The 25,478-nt window shown below is 40.8% G+C and overlaps 2 protein-coding genes and 1 long non-coding RNA gene across 38 annotated transcripts in view, besides 1 other annotated feature; 2 read left to right on the forward strand and 1 right to left on the reverse strand.

Moving 5' to 3' along the window:
- IQCJ-SCHIP1 (IQCJ-SCHIP1 readthrough) overlaps positions 1-25,478 on the forward strand; it is an 828,041-nt gene that overhangs the window by 765,772 nt on the left and 36,791 nt on the right. The gene's annotated exons all lie outside the window — the stretch shown is intronic.
- Positions 1-25,478, forward strand: part of SCHIP1 (schwannomin interacting protein 1) — a 624,116-nt gene that overhangs the window by 561,847 nt on the left and 36,791 nt on the right. For 4 of the 33 annotated variants that reach the window (NM_001414424.1, NM_001414425.1, NM_001197109.2 and 1 more), the window contains exon 1: positions 4,870-5,124. The exons of 25 other annotated variants lie outside the window; for them this stretch is intronic. Coding sequence is in view for 6 of the 8 variants with exons in the window: in NM_001414425.1 (NP_001401354.1) it covers positions 5,095-5,124 (30 nt within the window). In the remaining 2 variants the exon portion in view is untranslated. Of the gene's footprint in view, positions 1-4,869; positions 5,125-10,311; positions 11,778-18,063; positions 18,368-25,478 lie in introns of those variants that run through there. 4 more of the 33 variants (NM_001394294.1, NM_001394296.1, NM_001394295.1 and 1 more) reach the window with 2 other exon arrangements.
- LOC124906299 (uncharacterized) lies at positions 990-24,911 on the reverse strand. The gene is made up of 3 exons (XR_007096145.1): positions 24,814-24,911; positions 23,369-23,448; positions 990-1,068 (listed from the first exon to the last, which is right to left on the reverse strand). It is a non-coding gene; the product is annotated as an uncharacterized LOC124906299 (long non-coding RNA).
- Positions 17,790-18,084: a silencer, noted in NCBI's record as "tiled region #8585; K562 Repressive non-DNase unmatched - State 22:ReprW". NCBI's record gives its function as "represses a minimal TATA promoter and a strong SV40 promoter by Sharpr-MPRA in K562 cells {active_cell/tissue: K562}" and the evidence as "EXISTENCE:reporter gene assay evidence [ECO:0000049][PMID:27701403]".

Raw genomic sequence — 25,478 nt, forward strand, 5'->3', positions numbered from 1 at the left:
GCTTTCCCCAATTTCCTGAGGAAAAGCTTAAAAGTTATTACTTAAGATGGTGACTTCCCTGCCCATCTTTCCCACCCCCAATACTTCATTTTTTCTAACATTTCAATTTGAACAGAGTAGTAACAACATAGTAAGAACAGAATGGAAGGGGTTTTGGACAATAAATATAGTGGTAAAAAGTCATATCCTCAGGCCATCTGAGCATACAGTTTCAAAAGTGAGTAACTGGGGTCAGGAACTGACTGGAAGGGGCATATGAAACTTTCTGGCATAAGCCGTGTGAGTTAAGTGCAAGAGTTGACTTTCAAGTGGACTTTTTCCCACAAATACCCATTGCTGCACCACTTAGATTCAACAACTGATATTTAATAAACTTGCTTTGTCACAGCTTTCCATTGACCTATCCATCTACCCATCCATCAATTCCTCTCATTTACTTGATGTACTTCAAAGTAAGTTGCAGACATCAGTAAGTGCCCTAAATACTTTAGCCTGCATATCATCAATTTGAGTTCATGTTTATTCTTGTTTATTCTTTTGGGGTAAATTTTATGTACAAAGAAATGCACATATCTTAATGTTTTATTCAATGTGTATTGACAAATATACACACCTGTATAGCCAAACACTTAATCAACTCACACAGCTTATGCCAGAAAGTTTCCTATGCCCCTTCCGGGTCAGTTCCTGACCCAGGCTATTCACTTTCAAAACTGTATGCTCGATGGCCTGAGGATGTAACTTTTTACTATTATATTTATTGTCCAAAACCCCCTTTCATTCTATTGTTGCTAATTGCCACAATTGAAAAAAAATGCTTTTCTGGATTTAAAGACACAATAGTTTGTAGGTGGCAGAAACAATATTTTAATAAGGAAATAATCTAATTTTTCTTCCCTTAAAACATACCTTGAATTGAGTTTTAGGTAGACCCACGCTGCAGCTTCACTCTTACTTTATGATAGATTTTGATTTCAAGAGCAGCCTCAGTTGGCTCAGTCAAAAGGGGTTTATTTCTCCAAGTCTGGTGGGTCCTCAGTTAGTATTCGTCTTAGTCTGTTAGGGCTGCTGTAATAAAATATCATAAACTGGGTAGCTTATAAACAACAGAAATGTATTTCTTAGAGTTCTGAAGACTGAGAAGTCCAAGATTAAGGCAGTGTCTCATGAGGCCCCGTTTCCTGATTTATAGATGGCAATGGCATCTTCTTACTGTGTCTTCACACAGCAGAAGGGGCAAGGTAGCTCTCTTGGGCCTCTTTTAAAAAGGGCATGGATCCCATTTGTGAGGGCTTCACCCTCATGACCTAATCACCCCTCAATGGCCCCACCTTTTAATACCATCATACTGGTGATTAGATTTCCACATATGAAGTTTGAGGGCACAACATTCAGACCATAGGAGCATTGTTTTCTATGGAACACACTTATTTGGTATGAACCCAGAAAATCATGTTTGTTTCTTTGTTTTCCTTGCTTTGATGGCTTTTTGTTGTTGGGCATGCCACAACTTTCTTAGACCTTGGTTTCCATATCTGAACAATAACAGTGTCAGGCTAAATGATCTCTTGAGGTCCCATCTAAATTTGAAACTCAATACTTTTTATGGGAAGGGAAGCTGTGAAGATCTGAGAAGAAAAAAAAAATCCCTATGCTACAAAGACTATGCTTTACATAAAAAGTTCATCAATATTTTTTAGTTAAAGATAACAAATGTTACTGCAGTTTGGTAAACTATTCTAGCTTAAGTGTTCTTGGAACAGCTGGTTTCTGTTTAAAGTTTTTTGCACTAGCAAATCATACTTCAAATTATAACACAAAGTTGTTTCCAATGAATGACTATAAAGAGAAGCCTGTCTAATATATTCATTTTTTTTCATCTTGTTTATACCTCTTGGGAGAGTTTTTTTGACAGGATTTGGGATACAATTGTCAGAAATCTGTTCTCCCTAGAGCCACCTCTGAGTCATTTCCACTATTTATGGAACAGCAACTGTGAAGAGTGGAATCATGTTTAGACTTTTTTTTTTTTAACAACACATGATAAATGTCTTTGGGAGCTTATGTAATATATCCCATTGTCTTCAGTTTTCAGAAAAGACAGAGTCCAGGAAGCAGCTTTTTAAGCTTTGCACAGCTTGGAAACATGTTCCTGAGTCTTAGGGTCATAGATTGTCAAGGTAGTAACTTGAGTAAGGTTTTAACTGCCTTTGAAGTTAGAGCTGTTCTGTCTTGGAAAGTGTTTTTTATATTAAACAGATTTCCACTTCATCTTATCTGCTACCTTGCAAAGTGAACTTTTTTCCTTTGGCCTGCTCTTCTTTGCTCATATTTAGAATTCCAGAACCTTGGCTGGACACGGTGGCTCAGGCCTGTAATCCCAACACTTTGGTAGGCCAAGGTGGTTGGATCACCCAAGATCAGGAGTTCGAGACCAGCCTGGCCAACAAGGTGAAACCGTGCCTCTACTAAAAATACAAAAATTAGCCGGGCGTGGTGGTGCGCCCCTGTAGTCCCGGCTACTCCGGGGGCTGAGGCGGAAGAATTGCTTGAACCTGGGAGGCAGAGGTTGCAGTGAGCCGATCACACCACTCCAGTCTGGGTGACAGAGTGAGACTCCATCCCCCGCCCGAAAAAAAAAAAAAGAATTCCAGAACCTTGTTGGGTGGTTGTATTGCAAGGCACTCTACACAGAAGTCTCTCTCAGAGAAGAATGGAGTTTTAGGATGGGGGTGTATTGTTTATTGTTTCTTATCCCTGAAAAGTTTCCATCTTCTTGTCTTCATCTTGACTCATTCCCTACCCCCAGGCTTCTGCTTTATTCATCAAGCTTTCATTGTGCAGCCAGTGAGCAGGCCTAGAAAGTCCTGCACGTGTTATGTGACCCACCCCTCTCCTGGACTAGGAAGGATTAGGGCAGTGAGCTTCTGCACGGTGAGTCTCCAGAGTACTTTTCCTTTGAACCTGCTGCTGAAATTGAAGCCTCTGAGGATACCAGGAGTTGAGTTTTCAGGGCCATCTTTTCGTTCTCCTCACTAGGAAGGCTGAAATGAGTGTGCTTGTGAGTGCGTCAAGGGAGTCGAATTGAGATAGCAATAGCAGGCTTTGCTCCTGCTTGAACCTCAAATAGTAAAAATTAAGAATATTTATAAAAATAGGTTTTTCTCATTCCACAAAACAGATAAGTTATTAAAATTACATTAGCAAATAATCCTAACATAAACTCCCACCATTTTTAAGAGAGTGCTTGATAGGAAAACTTGTCAAACATGTCAATTCCATTTCTCATGCAAAAAGTACTTGTTTTCTCTGTCAGTAGCACAGTGAAACTGCGTGGTTAATGGGAAGAGGAAGAGTTTTTGAGACGGCTACATAAATAGAACATAGGACAGATAGATACTAAAATAGCTTAAAAATAATGTCCCTATTGATTTTTTTAATTTGATGGTTTAAATTCAGTCACATTTTTGTTAAGTACCATTTATGTACTCAGAGCTATTTTATTAAGAAACAACATGGGCCAGGCGCGGTGGCTCACGCCTATAATCCCAGCACTTTGGGAGGCCGAGGCAGGCGGATCACAAGGTCAGGAGATCAAGACCATCCTGGCTAACACGGTGAAACCCCGTCTCTACCAAAAAAAATATAAAAAAATTAGCCGGGCATGGTGGTGGGCGCCTGTAGTCCCAGCTACTCAGGAGGCTGAGGCAGGAGAATGACATGAACCCAGGAGGCAGAGCTTGCAGTGAGCTCAGATCTCGCCACTCGCCACTGCACTCCAGCCTGGGCAACAGAGTGAGACTCCATCTCAAAAAAAAAAAAAAAAGCTAAAAAAGAAAAGAAACAACAAAACTAATTGCCTGTGGCAACTGAGGAATATAAATAAGAAAATTTTATTTAACTTTTCCCCCTTAATTTTCTCATTACATTAGCTTGAAGAATTTATAGCCCAGTTTTTTCTTTTTGTGTATCCTCAAGTCCTGAAGTGGCCCTGAAGCCACTCAGAAACTGGCCCCAGTTTTTTCCCAGAAACATGTATTGTCTGACTTGTATTTCCTTTGAGTATTGTCCGCAAGTCCAGAATTACTCTGTCTCAGGGAGGATGGGTCTGTTCCAAGAATTGTATGTGCTGCATTGGGGGGTGTCCATATTTTCAAGTCACAGCGTTGGGTAATAATATATGTACAAAGCCTTACATTAAAAAAAAAAAAACCTTCCAATTAAGAGTTTAGTTTTCATGAAGTAAATTATAGTGACTTTAATATTTTAATAAGCTCTCTCCCTAAAAAAACTTATAACAGCAATTATTCTATCTTATTTCTATTTGACTTAAAAAGAAGCTAGGAGCCAAAAATAAGCAGGGAATTTAAAGAATTACAAAATAATCCTTTTAAAGAGTAAAGACCTTTTAGTTATAAAGTTGACAAACACTTCAAAAACTCAACATAGAAAAACATCCTTTCATTGTTGGTATTCAGAATGGATTGTTCTCTCTTTAGCATGTTAAAAGTTCTAAAATTATCTTTAAGGTCTTTTTCTTTTTTTTTTTTTTTTTTTTTTTTTTTTTTGATAAGCACCAGCCAAGCAGCCTTAGTGGGTAGGAAGGATGATGCCGGAGGTTAGAAATGTTCAACTGCAACATTGATTTGTGTCTGTCCCTCTCCCTCTCCCTCGCTGGCCTTTTTCTCGTTAATGAGGACTAGAATGTTTCCACATCAGTTAACTGCCTTCATAAAGCACCAGAAGGTCACACCAGCTCCAGACTGATCCTTTTCTTTGTGCCTATAATATAATTGGCTGATTGTGCGGGTGATGAGCGCCCCCTCCCCCAGCCCGGTCCCAGCTCCATGTTCCTAAGCCTGCCTCACTGGTTTCGGAGGGCTGGAGAGCAGCTCAGCTCGCTAGCTGCGCGCTTCCCGGCACAGGCAGTGCCACTGCGCAGGTTGATCAGCGAAACAGCATCCATTTTAATCTGCGGGGAGCCCCTGCCTTACCAGGGCGTTCTCTCCGCCCGCCGGTGGATGCTCCGCGCCTGCCCTCCGCAGCCTCGCTCAGCAGTCCTGCGTTGGGGTCTGCGCCCTAGGATGCACTGAGATGGTACATCAGGATAACTGCTCGTATCAGGTAAAATTTAAAGCCTGATTCTGAGGCCGGCATCCTTTGGGAGAGGAGGCCTTCCTCTTCCAAAGCAGCAGGTTGCCTCTTTCCGGATATTCAGGGATTTTGCCATCTTCCGCGCCTGGCCTTCATCACGTGCAGTATCTGAATTGTAATTAGCTTTTCTGGGGAGTAATGGGGCAGAAAACACTGCTTCCTTGGCCTTTAAAGCATTTGTGAAATTCACGGAGGTGATATGTGCTTTGCATATTTTGTACGTCTGCAAAAAAGAGGAATTGCTTTGGACTGTAATTTGAATTTAAGGGAATTTCAGAGGAAAATCTGTTTGGAATCTCACATCGATAACACTGAAAAACGTGATTTTTGCTCGTTGCATAGGATGTGAGTTGCTTCACATCCAGCTTTTAGGACTATCTTTAAGAAATTATGTAAATAGATAGTCGCGATTGATAATCTTGGAAATTTTCAAAAATCAGCCAGTATGCACTTGATGTTTAAAGTTGCACTTGTGTGTCTTTCCGAACTTATTTTTACTAGTATGTTGTTTTAAATGGTTGGTAAATAAGCATTAAAGTATCAACATGCATCAAAAACTCCAAATAGAAAAATCTTAGTAATTCATATTCATTTGTATGCTAATTTGCTACTGGAGTTATGAATTAAACACTTAGACAATTTCAAAAGATCAGCTCTAGAGTGTTTAGTAACTCCTTGGTAGGACTTGGACTGTTGAGGCAACATAGAAAGTATCTTTGTTGAAAACAGACAGCAAGAATGTTCTCAGAGAAATTGCTCTTTGCAGCAGCAGGCAGGGCTGGTCCAAATCTTGGAGAGTTAATATTGGGATATTACTCAACTGACTGAGTTTAGAATCTCTGAGAGACCAATTCTCTAACTTAACAATGCTTCTTCCTTGTGTGAGGTCGGTTACCTGAGACAAGCAAGTGTTTCTCATAAGGTCAGATTTCACAATGGTAAATATGTGCAGGCAAAATAGTACATTTCACAAGACTCAAGGCAGTGGTTTCTCAGCTAAGTAACGTGTGCCTATGAAATGTATTTATATACTTTGTCTTGCTTAATAACTAGAAATTTGTACTTACAGATTTATTTCATAGTATTTTCATTTTATGGTACATTTAGGGCCATAGATCCTAAATATTGAGCGTCATGCTTCACAGTAATTCTTTCCACGAGAAAGGGGTCAGAGATGCTGAGAAAAAAACCAACATGTCACTTACACATAATACAGAACTTGAGGGTAGGGGATGTCAAGTATCCATAGAGAGCCTAATCTACACATGGCATGGCTCCAGGTGATTGAATTACTATAATAATTAAAATAACTCTCTCTTTTCCAAGAATCTATTTATTTTTGAAGGGCAAACTACTATAAGATTATTCCATATGTCTTTTCATTAGGTTGAACATAAAAGCATTGTTTTTGTAGGTTGAAAATTGGTCAAATATCAGCAATTTCATCTGGAGAGAAGGGGTTATATTAGCATTCTACTTCTTCCAAAGGAAGATAAATTGATTTTATTTTACATGAGCTGCAATATATAACAGTGTCATTATGTGTTTAATAGTTTTGAAGTATTTATTGCTTATTTTCACAATAAAATTAAGTGTATTGGTTGGGTAATAATGGTCAATAGATTTTGCATCTGCATGGGATTTTATAGTAGAACTACCTACATGTGTATGTTCTTTTGAAGTGCTCTCTCTTTATACATAGCTCAGCAAAAACAGAAACATTAACCTTGAAGCCAAATCTTAATCCCACTTAGAAACCTTCATTTTAGAACCCAGCTGGCACCACATGCAACTAGATTCAGAAAAGGTGCTTTCTTGAAGTCCTTAGCTTGATGTTTGTAGTCACTGATGATATCTGCAGTTGAATGGCTTTCGGAAACTTCCCCACCATTTTACAAGGACTTACTTATTTTTTAAGGATGATATTGCAGTGGTTAAAAGCAAATTTCTTAGATTAGCATTTTTAGTCAGTTGATAGAATTCATTTGAAATATTGATTCCTTTTCTCCCATAAATGATGTATGCCAAGATTTCTTAATGGGTAGTCCATGAATGGGGGCTTCAGGGGCCATTCCCCTGAAAATTGCATGCACATTTTTGTGCTTTTGTATAGATGTACATCATTGTTGTCGTGGTTGTTATTGTCATCATAATTACAGCAATAATAGCCTTCTATGTGTTCTACCTACCCCTGCCCTTGCCCACACTCCATAGTCTATTTTCAACACAGTTTCCAAAATGAGCTTTTAAAACTGAAGACAGATCATGTCCCATATCTCAAAAATTTTAGTTTATCATCCTGCTCAGAGTAAAAATCCAAGTCCTAACAGGGCTTTATATCAGCTCGTCCCTGCTTCCTCTTGGACTCCGCTCCTACATTCCTGATTTCCTCCACTACCTTCCTACCATGCTGGGCTGGCCCTGCACCTGCTATTCCTTCTGCCTGGCATGCACCCCCACCTCCCCTATCCACCCCCTCCCCGCCCCACTGTGTAGGGTTGCCAGATTTAGCAAATAACTTACAGCATTTGGGACATACACTAAAATATTGTTCACTGTTTATCTGAAATTCACATTCAACCAGGCATCTAATATTTTACATCTTATAGATATTTACCTTATATTGTCGCCTCTACCCCCATCCATTACTCTCTCACTTTCTGCGAGTCTTTGCTCAGATGTCACTTCTAGGTGAAGCCTTATCTGGATGTAATCTGTAAACTTCCAGCTCTCCAGTTCTATCCCAATATTTCTTTCTTTTTTTTTTTTTTTTTTTTTTTTTTTTGAGATGGAGTCTCACTCTGTTGCCCAGGCTGGAGTGCAGTGGCGCAATCTCAGTGGCGCAATCAAACTCAGCTGCTGAGTTCAAGCAATTCTCCTACCTCAGTCTCCTGAGTAGCTGGGATTACAGGCGCCCGCCACCATGCCCAGCTAATTTTTGCATTTTTACTAGAGACTGGCTTTCACCATGTTGGCCAAGCTGGTCTCGAACACCTGACCTCAGGTGATCTGCCCGCCTTGGCCTCCCAAAGTGCTGGGATTACAGGCATGAGCGCGGCCTATCCCAATATTTCTATCATGCTTCTCTAATTTATTTTTATATTTATTTATCGCCATTTATCATAGTACATATTTTACTTATTTGTCTATTTTCTGGCTCCCTCACTCACTTCATGAGGGCAGGGATTTTATCTTTGTTCTGTCTGCTTTCTCAGTGCTTAGAATAGGTCCTCAAGTAATACAGATGGATATGTCTACTATTTGTAAAATTGACTAACAAAAAAGGCATTGTAAGGCAGGGCGTGGTGGCTCACGCCTGTAATCCCAGGACTTTGGGAGGCCGAGGGCTGCGGATCACGAGGTCAGGAGATCGAGACCATCCTGGCTAACACAGTGAAACCCCATCTCTACTAAAAAAAATACAAAAAATCAGCCGGCCAAGGTGGCGGGCACCTGTAGTCCCAGCTACTAGGGAGGCTGATGCAGGAGAATGGTGTGAACCCGGGAGGCAGAGCTTGCAGTGAGCTGAGATCACGCCACTGCGCTCCAGCCTGGGCGACAGAGCAAGACTCTGTCTCAAAAAAAAAAAAAAAAAAAAAAAAGCATTGTAAACATTCTATGGCATTTTGGTTTCTTGTTTTATGACTTTCAGTCCTACTCCTTCCCCTCCTCCCACCATGAACCTGCACTGTTTTCATTGTGTGTGAGCTGGTTATCTATCCCCTTGTTTCTTGTTAGTTTTCTCATCTGTGAAATGGAGACTTTCCCAGTTAACTTCCTGGCATAAGAGTTGCCAGGTCCCCTGCCAGAGGCTGCCTTTCTGCATAAACAAGTCAGTTATCATGAATTAAGAGCCCCCTTCCTCTTGTGTCATTTCTTCTGAGCACATCAGGGGTTTGGTGAGGATTGTTCAGCGGCCCAGGGAAACTGTGTCTCACTTCATTTCCCAGTTGTATCTTGCTAATATGTAGAAATACAATGGATTCTTACACATTGCTTTTCTAAATGGATGATTTGTTTTGAAAAAGAGAGTTTCGCTGCTACCAAGAGCCTGAACACCCCTGTTTGAGCAAGGGCTTGTATGCACTGTTCTTTGAACAACGTAAACCAAGGAGGAATAAACAGAAGGAATTCTCCTACAGAATTTTTCATGGTTGTTTGTTTTGTTTTTAAAACTGCTCACATCGTCGTCATCTTCATATACTTTTCTTCCTTACAGGATTTATGTTAGCAAAGAGGTTACTGAGGCATGTGTTGTCATTTGTGGTCTTAGCCCTGTTAAAAGATAGAGCTATCGACCTCCATTTTCCAGTCTTGGGAGGAAGCCAATCTCTTCAGGAAAGAAACTTGCCCACAGCTTCAGGCCTGGCAGCCTTCAAGAGGCCACATTTTTCTAAATGGTTTTTGATAGACAGCTTAGAAATATTGTAAACTTGAAAGCACAAGTTTAGGTCGAAGGGTCCATTTTGCTTAAAAGCTCTTAAATATTTTTTCCCTCTTTCCTGGAGTGGGGTTTTGGGATAAGTGTGTATATAAAAACAATGACATGCTTTCATACCTTTCTTGCCATTGCTTAAATTCCCTTATGACCGCCCCAGATATAGATCACACCCTGACATTCTTAGCTACTGTGGGAATGGAGACTTGAAGAAGAAAAAGTAAAATAGTGTGTGAATAACACTCATCTTTTTCCTCCCTTGGGAGCATAAAGAGTCCCTTCTTCAAACACATACCAGGTCATGAGAAGCACCGTCAGAAATCTTTAATGCTTCCCTCTGTTCCTTAGGATACATTTCAGACTCCTCTGCATGGCCTTCAAGGCCCGACATTTGTTTCTGACCCCTAGGCAGAAATGCTTCTCGCTCCAGACCCTTTACTCCTGCCTTCACAGTGCCATCAGTTCTTAGCTGCAATGCCTCAGGCTGAGATGTCTCCTACCCACACACCACCTGCTCCCACCCACTGCAGGCTAATGCAGCTTTCAAGGCTCAAATGCCACCTCCTTCAGGAAACTTTTCCCATTTATTTCTCAGTCCAGATTTCTCCTTCTCAGTACATTTTGTTTTTACTTGTATTAGAACCCATTTACAACTATTTACATATAGGTCTGTCTCCTCCATTAGACGACAAGCTTCTTCTTTTTTTTTTTTTTTTTAGATGGAGTCTTGCTCCGTTGCCCAGGCTGGTGTGCTGTGGCGCAATCTTGGCTCACTGTAACCTCCACCTCCCGGGTTCCAGCGATTCTCCCACCTTAGCCTCCTGAGTAGCTGAGATTACACGCGTCCACCACCATGCCCAGCTAATTTTCTGTATTTTTAGTAGAAACGGGTTTTCACCATGTTGGCCAGACTGGTCTCAAACTTCTGACCTTAGGTGATCTGCCCACCTTAGCCTCCCAAAGTGCTGGGATCACAGTCGTGAGCCACCGCGCCTGGCCGACAACAGGCTTCTTGAAGACAAGGGGCCTTCTTTAAATTTTCACAAGTCTCTGCCTTATACACAGAGTATGTGTTCAATAAATGTTTGTTGGATTGAATTGCACTTTATGCAATTGTTGATGTTCTGAGTCCCTAGGATCAGGGTTTCCCATCGTAACCCCAGAGATAAGCTCAGATCCATACGTTGTAACAAGGAGTTGGTGAAGCTGACCTCAGAAGTCCATGTACCTGGCTTCTCAGCCTCTTGGCCAGTTGCCCGCACTTTAAACATCTCATGTGCCAGAATTGGGGGTGCAGTGCAAGGCACAAAATAAATGAATGACTGGGATGCACAGACATTCCAGCCTTCCCAGAGACAATGCATTAAGAAAATACCTCCATGCCTACTTCTTCATCCAGAGAATTTTCCCAAGATGAACCTCATGGTCTGTCCCCAAGTGCTTTGCAAGTACTCATCTCCAAGCTGCCTTTCTTACTATAATGAGTTTTGCAAAGTTTTAATACATCCGTCTGCCTTATAGAGGGATAATTTTACCACCGCATGGAATACCGAAGTTTTCTGTGGCCAAATGTTTCAGCCCAATTGAGGTATCATACCCAGCACATAAAATAAAAGACACCCTGTGTTGCTCTTAAGTGATAAAACTAGGGAGTATATCAGTTTAAGTAGTATATCATGATATTCTTAAAATTCTTGTTGGAGAAAGTGGTAAACAGCCTTTTATGCCCAGATTCTAGTGGGTCATTAATGGTTAACAAAGGAAAGCAAATATATTCTATCCCTATCGACACCAGGACAAGTGAGGACTAGTCTCTCAATCCCTTCTTCCTGTGATTGAGAAAACAAAGTATCAAATTTGAGTTCAAGATTCCACCCAATTTAAGCCTGGTTTCTTCCACAGCAGGGAAAAAGATATTAGAATGGAAAAGGGAATTTCAAAGCATTTTAGTGCTCTATTTGATGGAGGCTTTTAAATATAAGTTCAATGAGACAATTTTCTGTTTTATTCTATAGATTTTTTTGATGGGGAATTTTTTTTCTATAGTTAATAGTGCTGAAGAGTACTTGGTCTTCATTGTTTTGCCTGTTTAAAGTATAATTATTGTCTGCCTTGTTGAGATATAGTTCTGTTTTTCCAAAGAGGGAGTAACCTTTGAAATCAATAAAAAAATTTTGGAGATAAATTTATATGCATTTTTTTTTTAGCTCAGATGTCTGAAAATCTAATTTATATGCTTTACCACAAAAGGAGCACAATGATAAGAGCCCCACATGGAAAAAAAAAATTAGCAGGGCTTCATTGTGGGCCTGATCTGAAATAGAAATTTAGTACAAGCACATCATTTCTATTTAAAGTAGCATTTGGGCCTCAAACTTCATGATTCAGACTTCGAGTGATTTTAAGAAGTACATATGTGAAACATATTTTAATCCAAAGGTCTAGTATTTATTCTTGGAAAGGATGGTGGTGATGGGGGGTGGGAAGGAAATGGGGCATCTCTATGGAAAATATCACATTGCATTGATGCTTGCTTGAAAGTAGAGACACCCTATTCATGCACATACATAACGCACAAATATATAAAATCTTGGGGAACTAATCACAGTTTTACATACAGAAGCCCAACATTAATAGAGCCCTATCCCATTGAAGTCATATCCCATTATTTATTTATATTCTCTATAACAAGGGAAAGTTTGAAATCTTGGTGTACTTAGTATTCCCCTGTGCACTATATAGAAGCATCAGAAACTACCAAACTTCCTGAAATAGAAAGTAATTTGACAAAACTGCTTGAATTCAAAAGAAAACAACCATCAGAGAGGCCTAAGTGACAATCAGTGTAGGAAAGCCATTAATGGGGAAAGAACACACAGAGAAACATAATGAGGACATTAAAATTGGTTCCACTTGGAAGCTGTGCGATGGTCATCAGAGTGACCACAGTTGAGTTTCTCGTGCTTGGTTTTAGTTGGACAGGAAGATTTACAACTATGGCCCACGATCTTTTAGATGTAGGAAAATGTGTGATACTCTGTCTACTCCCAGCACTGCCACCTCCCCACCCCACACTTTTAATACCATTATTTTAATTTTTTAAAAATCTATACAGCAAAGTCCTTTAAATGGCCTGCATATTTTCATGGCTTTTCTAGCTATCAGAATACTTTAATTGAAAAGCAAACCAAATTTAGATGAACTTTGCACAGAAGAAAAAAATTATTTGAAAAGAGGTTATAAATCTAATACATGGAATATGGATGTTAAGGCCGAGGAGAAGGCAGTGGGAGATGAAGGGTTAATCAGGATGAAATCGAGTTTCCATGTATGATAGGAAAATCTTTTGACAGTGCATAAGTGATCTCCCAGTAATGTGGTCAGTGTTCTCAGAGTTAATAATTTCCACCAATGGCTGATAATGATCATTTAAAAGCATTAACTCACGTGAGCAATGTGCCTTTCAATTCAGATCATGGCTCAACAGGAAACCAAAGCTCTTCATGCTAGTCCTTGAAATTCAGAGCAGGGAGTGGGAAGAGGCTTTTTCAACCTCAGGGATTCTAAGTGACTGTGAGTAGGTTTTCTAAGGGAGAGCGCTAGTATCTGGGCCCATCTTATGCATGGACAGTTCATTCTAGAGAGGGCAGCAGCAGAGGAGGTACCAGAGACAATCCCCATAGAAGGATAGGAGTGGCTGTCTCCCCATTTGCAAGCTACTGGCAAACCATCAGGCATTACATTCAGCTCAAGTCTCTGCCAAGGTGGTGTTTTATTTTGTGTTTTCCATTCCTGTATTCATTTGGACCACATGGAAGTGAAATTAATTACAGTGTTAATCCCAAGCATGTAGTCAAGGTCTTGCCACCCTGCCTGGAAATGTGGTTTGAAATAGAGGGATAATGGCTGATAATGATTTTTTTTTTCAAGTTCTAGAGCAACCCTTCTACACTTTAAGGTATATTCAAAAATCCTAGGGGTCTCTCTTTTTTTTTAATGCAATTTCTGATTCAGTGGTTCTGGAGTGGGACTGGAGGGCTTACATTTCTAGAAAGCTCCCAGTGCTGTTGATAATCTGCTTGGAGAACACACTTTGAGTAGCAAAACTCTAGAAAGTTTCACAGATAAGTGATGCCACACATAATAGGAAACTCTCAGATATTTTAAGCTGGCACAAGCTATCCTGAAAACGGTGGCACAGCTCCATCTGGAAAGGGTTTGGGCTATGAGCTTATCTACGTGCTGAGCTTCTTTAGGGAGGGTGCACAGTGATGTCACCACCACTGAGAACTGCCCTCAACTGCTTGCATTCATGTTTCAGGAGCAGATGTTCTATCACTTGTCTCTGTATAGTGCTTATTAGAGAACACTTACGACAAAAAAGGAGCTAGCAGGTAGAGGAGTGGAATGGTCTTTTAGTATTCTCAGTACTATTCCTTGTTGCTGTTGTTTTGTTGGGAAATTTCCATCTCGAATTTTGAGGTGCCTCTCTCCAAAAGATAATATATTATCAATGTATGTGTATATACATGTGTATGTATATCATTACTATATTACTAGTACACATATATTAATCTGTATGTATATATACATAATCATGAGAGTTCAGTTTTTCTCATTTTAATTGTATATTTAAGCCCACTCTGTTAAAATTAAAGTAAAAAGATACTAGTAATCAGGCATATCATTTTATGTATCTTACGGAGTCTTGCAGTCTCTAAATTATTATAATTTCATCCATGTTAGCTATCGATTATAGGTTTCTAAGTGGACTACGACATTAACCCAGATAAGAATGAAATTCATATTGTAGCTGAACCCCAAGTGCAGTGGACTGAGGTCTGGAAATCAGTACAGTCATGGAGCCAGGAGCAGAATACTGCTTTGCTGCTACTGTGAAAGAGCCATTTGTATGGTCTTTAGAGCTTTTCAAGCTGTAGTCTGCAGAGTGAGTGGGGTCTGCAGGGTCCTAGGGCTTCCTTTCCACAGAGCTTTCCTGAGAGGCTGTGCTGGGGCTGGGATAATAGGAGAATAGAGCATCCAGGTGGGGTGTGGTAGCCCTCCTCATTCAATCAAAGCAGACCCTTTTTTCCTTTTGAACATATGTGAGTTCCACAGAAGATTTCAGTTGAAAAGCACTATTAATGTTTCCTACTGTGGACAGCATTTAGAGGAAACATTTTAAGCAGCACGTTCATATTTCCTCTGTTCACGTACTTAGTCAACAGCTCTTCATTGTGCGCTTATCGTGTGCAAGGCAGTGTTCTACATGCTATGGGGTAAACAAGATGACAAATCCCTGTCCCCTTAGAAAAGAGCTTGCAACCACAGTGGCTGTTGGAAAGAAGCAACAGTGGTGCTAAAAGACACCAGGTAAACTGGAAAGGAAAATTCATCATATAGCGTACTAGGTTCTGACATCAGTGAAGTAGCTTCCATTTCATTTCTTGAGGCTTCATCAGAAGAGATATGCGACAATACGTGCTGGGTGTTCCAGATGTATGATCTGGAAAATGTTGATTCAGCTCTTGATATTGTTATACAGGGAGCTGTATTAGTCCATTGTTACACTGCTATATAGAAATACCTGGCCAGGCATGGTGGCTTACACCTGTAATCCCAGCATTTTGGGAGGCCAAGGCGGGTGGATCACCTGAGGTCAGGAGTTCGAGACCATCCTAGCCAACATGGTGAAGCCCCGTTTCTACTAAAAATACGAAAATTAGCTGGGCGTGGTGGCGGGCACCTGTAATCTCAGCTACTTGAGAGGCTGAAATCGAAGAATCACTTGAACCTGGGAGGCAGATGTTGCAGTGAGCCAAGATTGTGCCACTGCACTCCAGGCTGGAGATTCCATCTCAAAAAAAAAAAAAAAAAAAAAAAAGGAAATACGTGAGACTGGGTAATTTATAAATAAAAGAGGTTTAATTGGCTCATGGTTCTGCTGGCAGTACAGGAAGCATGGTGGGGGAGGCCTCAGGAAACTTACAATTACGACAGAAGGCAAAGGGGAAGCAGGCACATCTTCACGTGGCCAGAGCAGGAGGAAGGGAAAGAGTGGGGAGGTGCTACACGCTTTTAAACAACCAGATCTCATGAGAACTCTTATCACCAGAGCAGCATTAGGGGGATGGTGCTAAACCATTAGAAACCACCCCCATGGTCCAGTCACCTCACACCAGGCCCTACCTCCAACATTGGTGATTACAATCGAACATGAGATTTTGGTGGGGACACAGATCCAAACCACATATCTGGAGCTCTACTAGATTTGTCTGTGTTGAACTCTAATCTTTAAAAGCTATGCTTGGATGGGCGTGGTGCTTCACATCTATAATCTCAGTACTTTTGGAGGCCAAGATAGGAAGATCACCTGAGCCCAGGAGCTCAAGACCAGCCTGGGCAACATAGTGAGATCCCATCCCTACAAAAAATTTTTTAAATTATCCAGGCATAGTGGTGCACTCCTATAGTCCCTATACTATCTAGTCCCAGCTATTCAGAAAGCTGAGGTGGGAGGATCACTTGAGCCTGGAGGTCAAGGTGGCAGTGAGCCATGATCATGCCATTGCACTCCAGCCTGGGCAACAGAGCAAGAACCTGTCTAAATAAATAAATAAAAGCTATACTTGATTATTTTATTCAGCACAATTATTTCTTACAGAGGCAGCCAGTGTGGGATGGTTAGAGTGTGGGCCACAGAGGCAGAGAGCCCATATTCATCTTCCTTAACCTCACTGAGCTCTTTCATTTTGCTGTAAAACACAATTGATAGTAATATCTACTCCAAAAGATTATTGAGAGGATTAAAGACATATGTAGGAGGAACATATAAAGTGCCTGGCACATAGCAACCCCTCCCTCAATAAAGGGTAGCTGTTAATATATGCCAGGTAAGAAGATGCATGCTTCCTTCATTTTAACTAACCTCCTTTGGCAGGATTTAACATACACAGGGTCCTTCAAACTAGAGCATACTTTAACCCCAAAGTCTTAGCCTTGGTGAATTCTCCTGTATTTTGAGCACCTGCACGGGGCACTGGGAGCAGCAGTCTGTGGCCAGCATTGCCACAGCCCCGGGAAGCATTCTGGGCTGCCTGCATGCAGACAGTGGGACCCCCATCTGGAGTGAGGGTCCTGGGGTTTGAAGGAGAGTAAGACAAGGGAGATCTCTTCCAGGGAAAACCCTGCCCAAATGCAAATGTGGTTCATGAGAGACAACTTGTTATTGTAACATCTGACAAACATGCAATTAATTCTTTTTGGAACTGAGGTGGGGCAATGAGAATGGAGTAAAGGGAAGATTTCACTTTGGTTTGGGGGCTACAGAGGGAAGTATTTGCTTTATAGAAGTAGGGCTATTATAAACTACTTTGAAACACATTTATGCCACAAGTCTTCTACAAATTGAATTTTTAAAAAATGTGGAGAGAAATAAGTAGACACTGAAGGTGAGCATGTCAGCAGCAGTTCAGATGCCAAAAGGTTATCTTGAATAGCCTTTTTGCTTTTAGAACTCTGTTCTTAACAGTATTGTGGTTGCACAAGAATCTATATTGGAAAATTTATTGACTAGTATACTTGCTGCTTTTTATCTAAGCTTGTCAGAGTGTAAGATGGTGTTGCTAAATGAAGGCTTGCCCTTTGAATTCTTTTCTGACCTATTTCTCCTGCAAACAGTAGCTTTATTTTTTGGAAATAAACACTGGGCATAATTTTTAGTTTATGACAGTAGTAAGCTGATTCTGATGAGTGTGTGTTTGTATGTGCACTTCTGCTTGTCTGCTTCTTGCACCAAAACATCCTCCAGCTGTGGGCCTTTTCCCTCTCTTTAGTAAAGCCTGTAAACAAAACCAGAAGCCATGGGAAAAGTGTAAAGAGAGCAGCAGAAAAGAACGTTTGCTTTTGTGAAAAAGCCCGCCACTGCTTGAATTTTAAAGAAAAGTTGATGGATCTTTTTCTGTTGCCTATATTAATAGAACAAAGCACTGCTCCCAGGGCAGAAGGGTCCTTCTCTGTGTTGGAAGTGAATTTCAGTCTCGTCCTGGAGCTCCTACCAGATGAGACTTTTACATGAGATTTTAAGAAATGATCAGTTAAAGGGGGAAAAAAGCAAACATCTGTGTTACAGGTCAGCCTTTAAATTATACTGTTTCCGTTTTGTCATGGGATACCCAGCTTTTAACTCAGTAGTGAAGTCGGCTGGGCTGGAAGTTTTCACATCTATTTTTATCCCACACAATCTACCCCTGGTTCAGATTGCTAGTTTCCTCACAGAGCTCCAGTCCACACTCGGCCCTGAACGCGGAGTTGAATCAGCTGGCTGAAGCTGAGTGCCTCTCTTTTCCTTTCTTGGGAACAGGAAAGGTGCTGTGGAGAGGAATTGGGGCGGGATCATTCAGGGGAAGGTGACAGCAGATGGTGGGAAGGCCGGAGTCAGCAAGCCAAGTGTCAGGGGCAGAGTGAGCCTCAGAAAACAGCAGCTGCCCGGTGCCAGAGCAAGGAAAGGCCAGGGAGGCTGGGCGGGGCAGTGTCTGTGGGACAGAGTGGGGCAAGAACACACACGGCCGGGCACAGCCTCTTAGCCAGCTCTCCATGTCAGTATGAGCAGTAACCAGGGAACTGGGCAATTGGCACATCAGCCTATCAGAATTCATGGGAGGTTATTTCTTAAGTGAAATTCTAAAGAGTTAAAGGATGAATTTGGACAGTGATGGAATGGATGACATCATCAGTCAAGAATCCTCATTGGATATGGAGGGGAATTATAAAAAGGTAAGGGGGGAGAGCTCTTTTGTTTATAAACAATTGAACCATTTTTCTAACTGGAGAAAGATCACCCTTGAGGAGTGGCCAAATTCCACACTCAGTGGCTATTGCCATAATATAGTCAGGAAAAACTAAATGCACAGAATCAAATGCATTAAGCTAGGAAAGTTCTTTCTGCTTTTCCCAGCTTATGTTCATTAATATGTTACAGCAGCAACTAAAACACACATGTTGTTATTCTGAAGTTGAAAAAATTCTATTATGCATTTAACTGCTAGGCAGGCTTTTTATGTGAAGGAATTTTTTAAAAATTATTGACATATATTTACAGTTCACTGGCAAAAAAAATTACTAGAATGTTTAACCTATTTTTCCAATTTTTTGTTTGATTTTATTGGCAATGAAAAATATCAAGTTTTAGTTAACATGTTTGGGGTTTTTAAAAGTTGATACAGTATCTGTTCATCTTTTCCCTGCCCTTTTTTTTGAAAGTCAGTAAATATATTTTGAGAATGTTTTATATGGTAATGTTCTGGTAATCACAGGCCCGAGTAAAAATAGCTTTAGTTATATGGGTGAGGTCATGAAATTAAACTACAAGTATATGCTTATCTGTCCACAGAAGCCTAAAACACACACTATGTCCTTCCCTCTTCATTATTTGCCACAAGTCAAGTGTAGTTCACAACATGGCATAACATGAAGAATAAAATCCCTTCCATCATGGGCCTGGAAATGAAGACCTCTTTACCTCAGAGGCAAATATCAGTTAATGATAGAACAGTAAAACTTGCTACTTAATTTTTAATTTGATCAAATACATCACTAACTTTTTTCCCAGGAATGACATATAGAAAGAAGCTTCTGTCGTGATAGATCCTTACGTATAGTAATGTAAAATATGGTAGTTTATATCTTATATACATATATGTGTGTGTGTGAGTGTGGGGACTGTTTTAAGTATATACTGTACTTCCTAGAGGAGTTCACAACAGCTTATGTTCTTTCTCCACAAGCTGAAACTTAAATATGTGAAAGCGGTTTCAGTAACCTGCCATGTTGCCGTTTGTGTTTTTCATCCCTTGTGATCCCCAAGACAGGAATGAGCACCAAGGTGATAGTTCGCTGAGTCTCATAACCCTAACACTTCCCAGCTGTCCGCTTCTGCCGGAAGCGATGTGCAAAAGATGCTTGGGACACTCTGCCGTAAGAGTCAGATTGCTTATCCAGCTCTGCAGAACAAGTGTAGCCATCTCATACTTCTGCTATTTTCAGTGTCAAAGAACTGGTCATGGTGTCCTTTGTCAGACCATTTCTCAGATAGAAGAGGATAGGTCAGTTTGCACTTAGGAAAAATGAAACATACCATTGCTAATGCATTAACAATGAAGTCATGACTGTTCTAGTTTTTTCCTACTTAGAAACAGAGGGAACCCAGATGCCTGGAATAAGTAAGCAGTGATACACCAGCAACCTGAGACAGGGCTGACTAAAGCTACAGACATGTACGGCTCAAGGAGCTTTAAAACATCAACAACAACAAAACAGAATTGCACTGTGTAACCCATTATCTAACAAAGGCAGTAGAATGCCGCATATGATTTCAGTATCTGATAGGTTAGTACAAAAAAACTGCAAGATGAAACTTCTAGATGTGTGGAGTGCTCAGAGATCAGTTCATTATGTTCCGGATCTTAAACATGAGGGTTGTTCTCTTGTCATTCCGGCCTTTTAAATACCTTCCTCAGGCAAAGTGTTTTCAAATGTTTATGTGTATCGTGATTATTATGAAGACTTCATTATAATTATCCTTCTTTTTTAAACCCACTCTTTGTAATTTTACTATGAGCTAGTGAAACAGGGCAACATACACTTTTTTAAAAATATGAGGAATAAGAAAATAGTTACCTAGTATAAAAATAACTTTCCCTAATTAGAATCTTCCTTTTCTAATTTTTTCGCTAATATTTTTCCTGTTTTGTTGGCTAAGTAGAAAATTAAATTAGATGCCGTAAAGTGGGGCTCTGCAGGCTTTTTTGACCTTGCATTCATCAGTAAGATGGTTTTGAGTCCATGCCTGTAATATACATATATTTTATTCAGAAATAGCACCCACCACTATAAAATACAATGTGTGTATGTAAAACATATACACAAATAGATATTTTAGAGAATAAAATGTTTAAAATATAAATATAAGTAAAAGTTGTAATTTTTTTTTTATCTCCTGTGGTACTTTCACCCCATTTTGAGGTCAATTGTCAAAAACAATTAAAAAATTGATACATCCCTGCTTAGGTACCATAGAATTCCCTGAACCAATTGCACTAATAAATACCACATGTGTATAGGGATTATTTTACAGGGTTGTTTTAAAGTCAGACAAACAGCCTTCAGGGGGAAAGGTCACTTTCTGATGACTAAAATTAGATTCCACCGAAGCAAAGGAAGAAAAAGATTATGCTTCTGTTCTTTTTCCGTGGGGAAGGTTTTGACTGTAAGAAAGATGTTTCATTAAGGACCTCTGGTTTATTCAATAGTAATAGTAAAACTGCCCTCAACAGAAAACATATCTTAGTGTTTAAGAAGAAAAGTGCAGACCTTAGCAGAATCCGAGGTGTATGTGTTCAGCCCATTATTTCCCTGCCCTGCTGTGAGCAAGTTCTGATCCCCTGATAAAGAACCACAGAGCTGATTGTCTTCAGGACCAACGTGGTATGCAGCATCTAAGTCAGTGTCCTCATCCATTCCACCATCATTTTTCCAAGAGCCCTCTCATGTTCCTGGCACTGTGCATGGCTCTAGGATCACCAAAGGGGGACTGAGCTTTCCCTCCAGGAGCTGACCGTCCCAATGGGGGAGGCACATAAAGGAACAAACTACATGGAACTGATGCTGCCTGGAGTGTCCAGATAGCCGGTGTGGACTTCTAAAGTGTGCAGCCATTTAGATCTTTCCCTGCCCCAGGAATGTGTACCTTAAACACGAGAGTTGTTTATGTGTACATTCTTGGGGCAGGGAAAGATCTAAATGACACTAATGGAGAGAGAGAAAAGGAAATCGGGAAAATTTAATATAGAATATGGCAGAAGACTGGCTCCAACTTTGTTCCAGAGCAGAGAAAATGCAGGGAATCTGGTATTGCCTTCTGTTCCTAGGCTACTGTGCACAGAATCAGGGAGCTGACAGCAGGGCGGTGAGTGGGCCCAGGGCCGGGCCAGCCGCTCGCTTCGCTTTGTTCCTCAGGGGTGCCGTCTCTAGTGTTGTGCATCCAATTATGGTGAAAGATTAGGGAGGACCCTGTGAAAAAATTAAAAGGCTGGAAGGAACAATATTTAAAGTGAAGCCACAGCTGCGCCTCATGTTTTTTTTAAAAGGTGAATGGAAATGACTGCTTGAGATAAACTGCAATAAACAGGAACACAGAATGCCAGCTGCCATTCCAGACAAGCTCTCTGCCCTCCCCACACAATTACTGAGGAAAAACAGCCGTCGACCTCCATTAACCCTCACGTCTTCCTGCCTGTGAGGGCTGAATACGCTTGAAGAACCATGTTAAGTTACCGAAGCCTGGGACCTAGCCCCACCTCAGCCACCTGGGAAAAATCTCTTCCGCTTTGTGGGCCAGGTTCTCCTTTTCTTAAAAAGAAAGAATTAGCCTGGTCGGTCTTAGATGTTATAAATATAAAGCTTCCTGGCTCGTGGTTCAGGTTTCTTATCATATCACCCCATTGGCACACCTCGGTTAGCCAGCATGGTCAGGGAATGGGCTGTTTCAGGTAACTAGAATTTCCGGTGAAATGCAAGTGTGTTAGATGTATTCTTGTTCTCACACACACATGCACACAAACGTGCACACACATGTCCCCTTCCATGTCATGGTCATCTTCTACAGCACTCTCTACTTGGTCTCTTTCCCTTCTCCTCGCTAGTTGCCTTAGGCTTCCAGCTCTCCTCATTTTCGTGTGTGTGTATGGCTTTTTTAAAAATTGAGATATAATTCACATACATAAAAGCCACCTTTTTAAAGTGTACACTTTGATGGTTTTTAGTATATTCATAAGGCTGTGCACATCGTCTAATTCCAGAATTTTTCATCAACCCAAAAAGAAACCCCGTACCCATCAGGAGTCACTCCCAAATCCTTTCTTCTCTTAGCCTCTGACAACCGCTAATTTACTTTATGTATTTATAAATGGACCTGTTCCAGACATTTCTGGCTCCTTTTTTCTCCCTTTCTCCATTCTTCTCACTACCTTCCCCACCCCTTCCTTTTAATATTAATAACAGCTACCACTTTATAAATTTCTGTCTGTGCCAGGCACTGCGCCAAGCACTTTCTATATAGTATTTCATTTAATTATTAAAACAACCTAAAAATAGGTATTATTTCTTTTTTCAAAAGAAGAAACTGAGGCTCCAAGAGTCTCAGTAACTCGTAGTAATGTCAGAGTCAACATGTTAAGCAGGGTCTTCTTGACTCCAAATACTCCTCCCCACCTTCTTTCTGGCCATGAGTCTGTGTCCACCTCCCCCGGATCCTAGGTCCATTCTACACAGGAGGTTGAGGACACCAGCTTCCTGGCTGCTGATTAAGGCTTGGCTGTTTCATAACCATGCAGTAGGTGTTTGGGACTGTTGTGTTCCTGTCAGTGATACTGAATGACTGTGATGGGTTTCCAGGCTTCTAAAATGGCACCTGTTAAAAATAGAGTTGCCAGATAACACTGTCTTGTGCTAAAAAGTATTCTCTGGGAGGCAATCATTTGAGAAGTAGAATGAGCTCAGGTTCGTTCCCAGCTGTTTGTGTTTTGGATATGGTGCTCACAGGGGAGGACAATCATTTAGTTTTCCACTGTATCCCTTGAGGAGTTAACGTTGAAACACCTCCTCTACCGTAGCCATCTTTGTAGATTGCACCTTAGACTCCTTCACTTTCTGCAAGGTTCCCATTGTAAGTGGCTACTGAACTTTAACCCTAGGTGTTTGTTAAATACCTTTGCTTACCTTCTCAATCGAAATATTCAAGTGTTGTGGACTCTGCGCAGCGGCATTTCTATCTGCCTGCTTCTGTTTATGTCACTTCCCTGTAGCATAAGAAGGAATGCAGTCAACACTAGGCAAAACCATCCTCACAGTTAGTTATTATAAATATATTTATTTATAAATGCAGTTAGTTATTAATTGTAAATAAATATCTGCATTTTCTGTACTGACATCCCAGTTCTTTTGATGTCAGCCAATACTGAAGTAAAATAGGTGTCAGAAGACACAGGGCCCCAGAGTCCTTCCCCTTGGGTGCCCATCCTGGGCTTTAGATATCCGAGGCCAGCTCTCTCGTGGGTACAGGTCCTGAGCAATTTACACCCAAAGGCCTTACTGTTGCCCAGCAGCCCAGGCTGACACTTATTTAAGGAAACATGTTTAGGCAGGTTGGTACGAGGATGCAAAGATAAGAAATTTCAACAGCATTTCGGGAAACCTGTATTTGGCAGCTCATCTTGACCTTTCTGGATGTTTAGTGTAAGTGACTGAAATGGAAAATGTCACAAATACAAAATGAAAAGAAAGTGTCCTGACTTACTATCCGTTCAGTGATGCAATTGAAAGATACTATTTTTTAACTTATATTTACTTCCACTACCAATTAAAAAGCACTTCTCAGGGGATAAAATAAGATTCAAGAATTTAAAATAACCTGCATGGTGCAAGAATTTGTGCACCTGACATTCAACAGCATACAATTTCTTTTCTTCTAGAATGCTGTTTTTATATTCTGGTCTAGTGACAAATTCATGGTTTGTCTCAGTGAGAAAATAACTAGAAAGTACTATTAGTATATTTGGGTTTTCTTTTGGCCTTTTCATTTCAAAGAAAATTAATAACATTTACATAACAAACAAGTAAGTTCTATACTTCTGGTTCATAATGTTTAAGAGCTTCAGACTCCTCACACTGTAATGCTACCTATAAATGTTAGAATAAAGCTGTCTTATAAGCTGGGGGAAGAAATAAGAGCGACTACCACTTTCCTAAAGGAAGAGTACTTTTCCACAGAGAGCTTCAGAATCCCAGTTACGTTCCCTGGCGGATGCTGCTAATGGTGATGATGCCAGATATCACTAGGCAATAGATTGCACTGAAGCAAGGGGATCATTAATTGCTTCAAAACAAGCATCCTGGTAAGGCCTTGGCAGAGGCCAGGCTGCTACAAATGAAATCCACCTGGCTTCAGAGTCTGGCCATGCCACATGGAACAGATGTGTGCTCAATTACAGAAGAACCAACTCTGTGTTTCATCTAGCTACTTGATCTTCTCAATTTGTTTAAAGCTGTGGTTCTCAAAGTGCCTATGCTAGCATCATCAACAGCATCTGGGAACTTGTTAGAAATGCACATTCTCACCTCCACCCCAGACTTTCTTGAAACAGAAAAATAGACTGTGTACTTACAAGCCCTCCAGGTAATCCTCTTGCACAGTCAATCAAGTTTGAGTGCTATTGGCTTAAAGAAATGTGTGACAGGGTGTGTGTGTGTGTGTGTGCGTGTGTGTGTGTGTCTGTCTGTCTGTCTGTCTGCGTGTGTGCACATGCATGCTCCTCCCTGGTCTCCACTTGGCCAACCAGTGTCTCAGCAACCCCTGGCATCCTGAGTTCCTTTCTGGGCCACGGGGGACCAGTGTATTCATTAGCTTCTGGGATGATGCAGCCCATAATCCTTAGGAAGTTTTTTGTCAATGGCATATTGTTTTCCTTTTTAGCATTGGTGGCAAGTATTTACTTCATTGCTTTAACAAGCATTTCCTGGGGCCTATAGGTAACACCAGTGTAAAAGACAGAGAAAGAGCAGTCAAGTCCTGTGAGGCTTCTTAACCTTAGAGAAGATCTCCTGCAAAACCTCTAACCTTTTGCAACTCCTGGAGCTTATTAGAAATGCAGAGTCTCCGGCCCTGTCTTTGATTTAGAACATGCATCTTAGCAAGATCTTGAGGTGACTCATAAGTACCCTGAAGCCTGAGAAGCATTGCACCAGGTAACAACTTAGCAGTGTGAAAAAGAGGATGCTAGACGTGGTATCTGTAGGGGTCATTAGTGAATTAGTACTGAGACAGTGAGCA

Source organism: Homo sapiens, chromosome 3 (genome assembly GCF_000001405.40).
Source record: "Homo sapiens chromosome 3, GRCh38.p14 Primary Assembly".
NCBI lineage: Eukaryota > Metazoa > Chordata > Mammalia > Primates > Hominidae > Homo > Homo sapiens.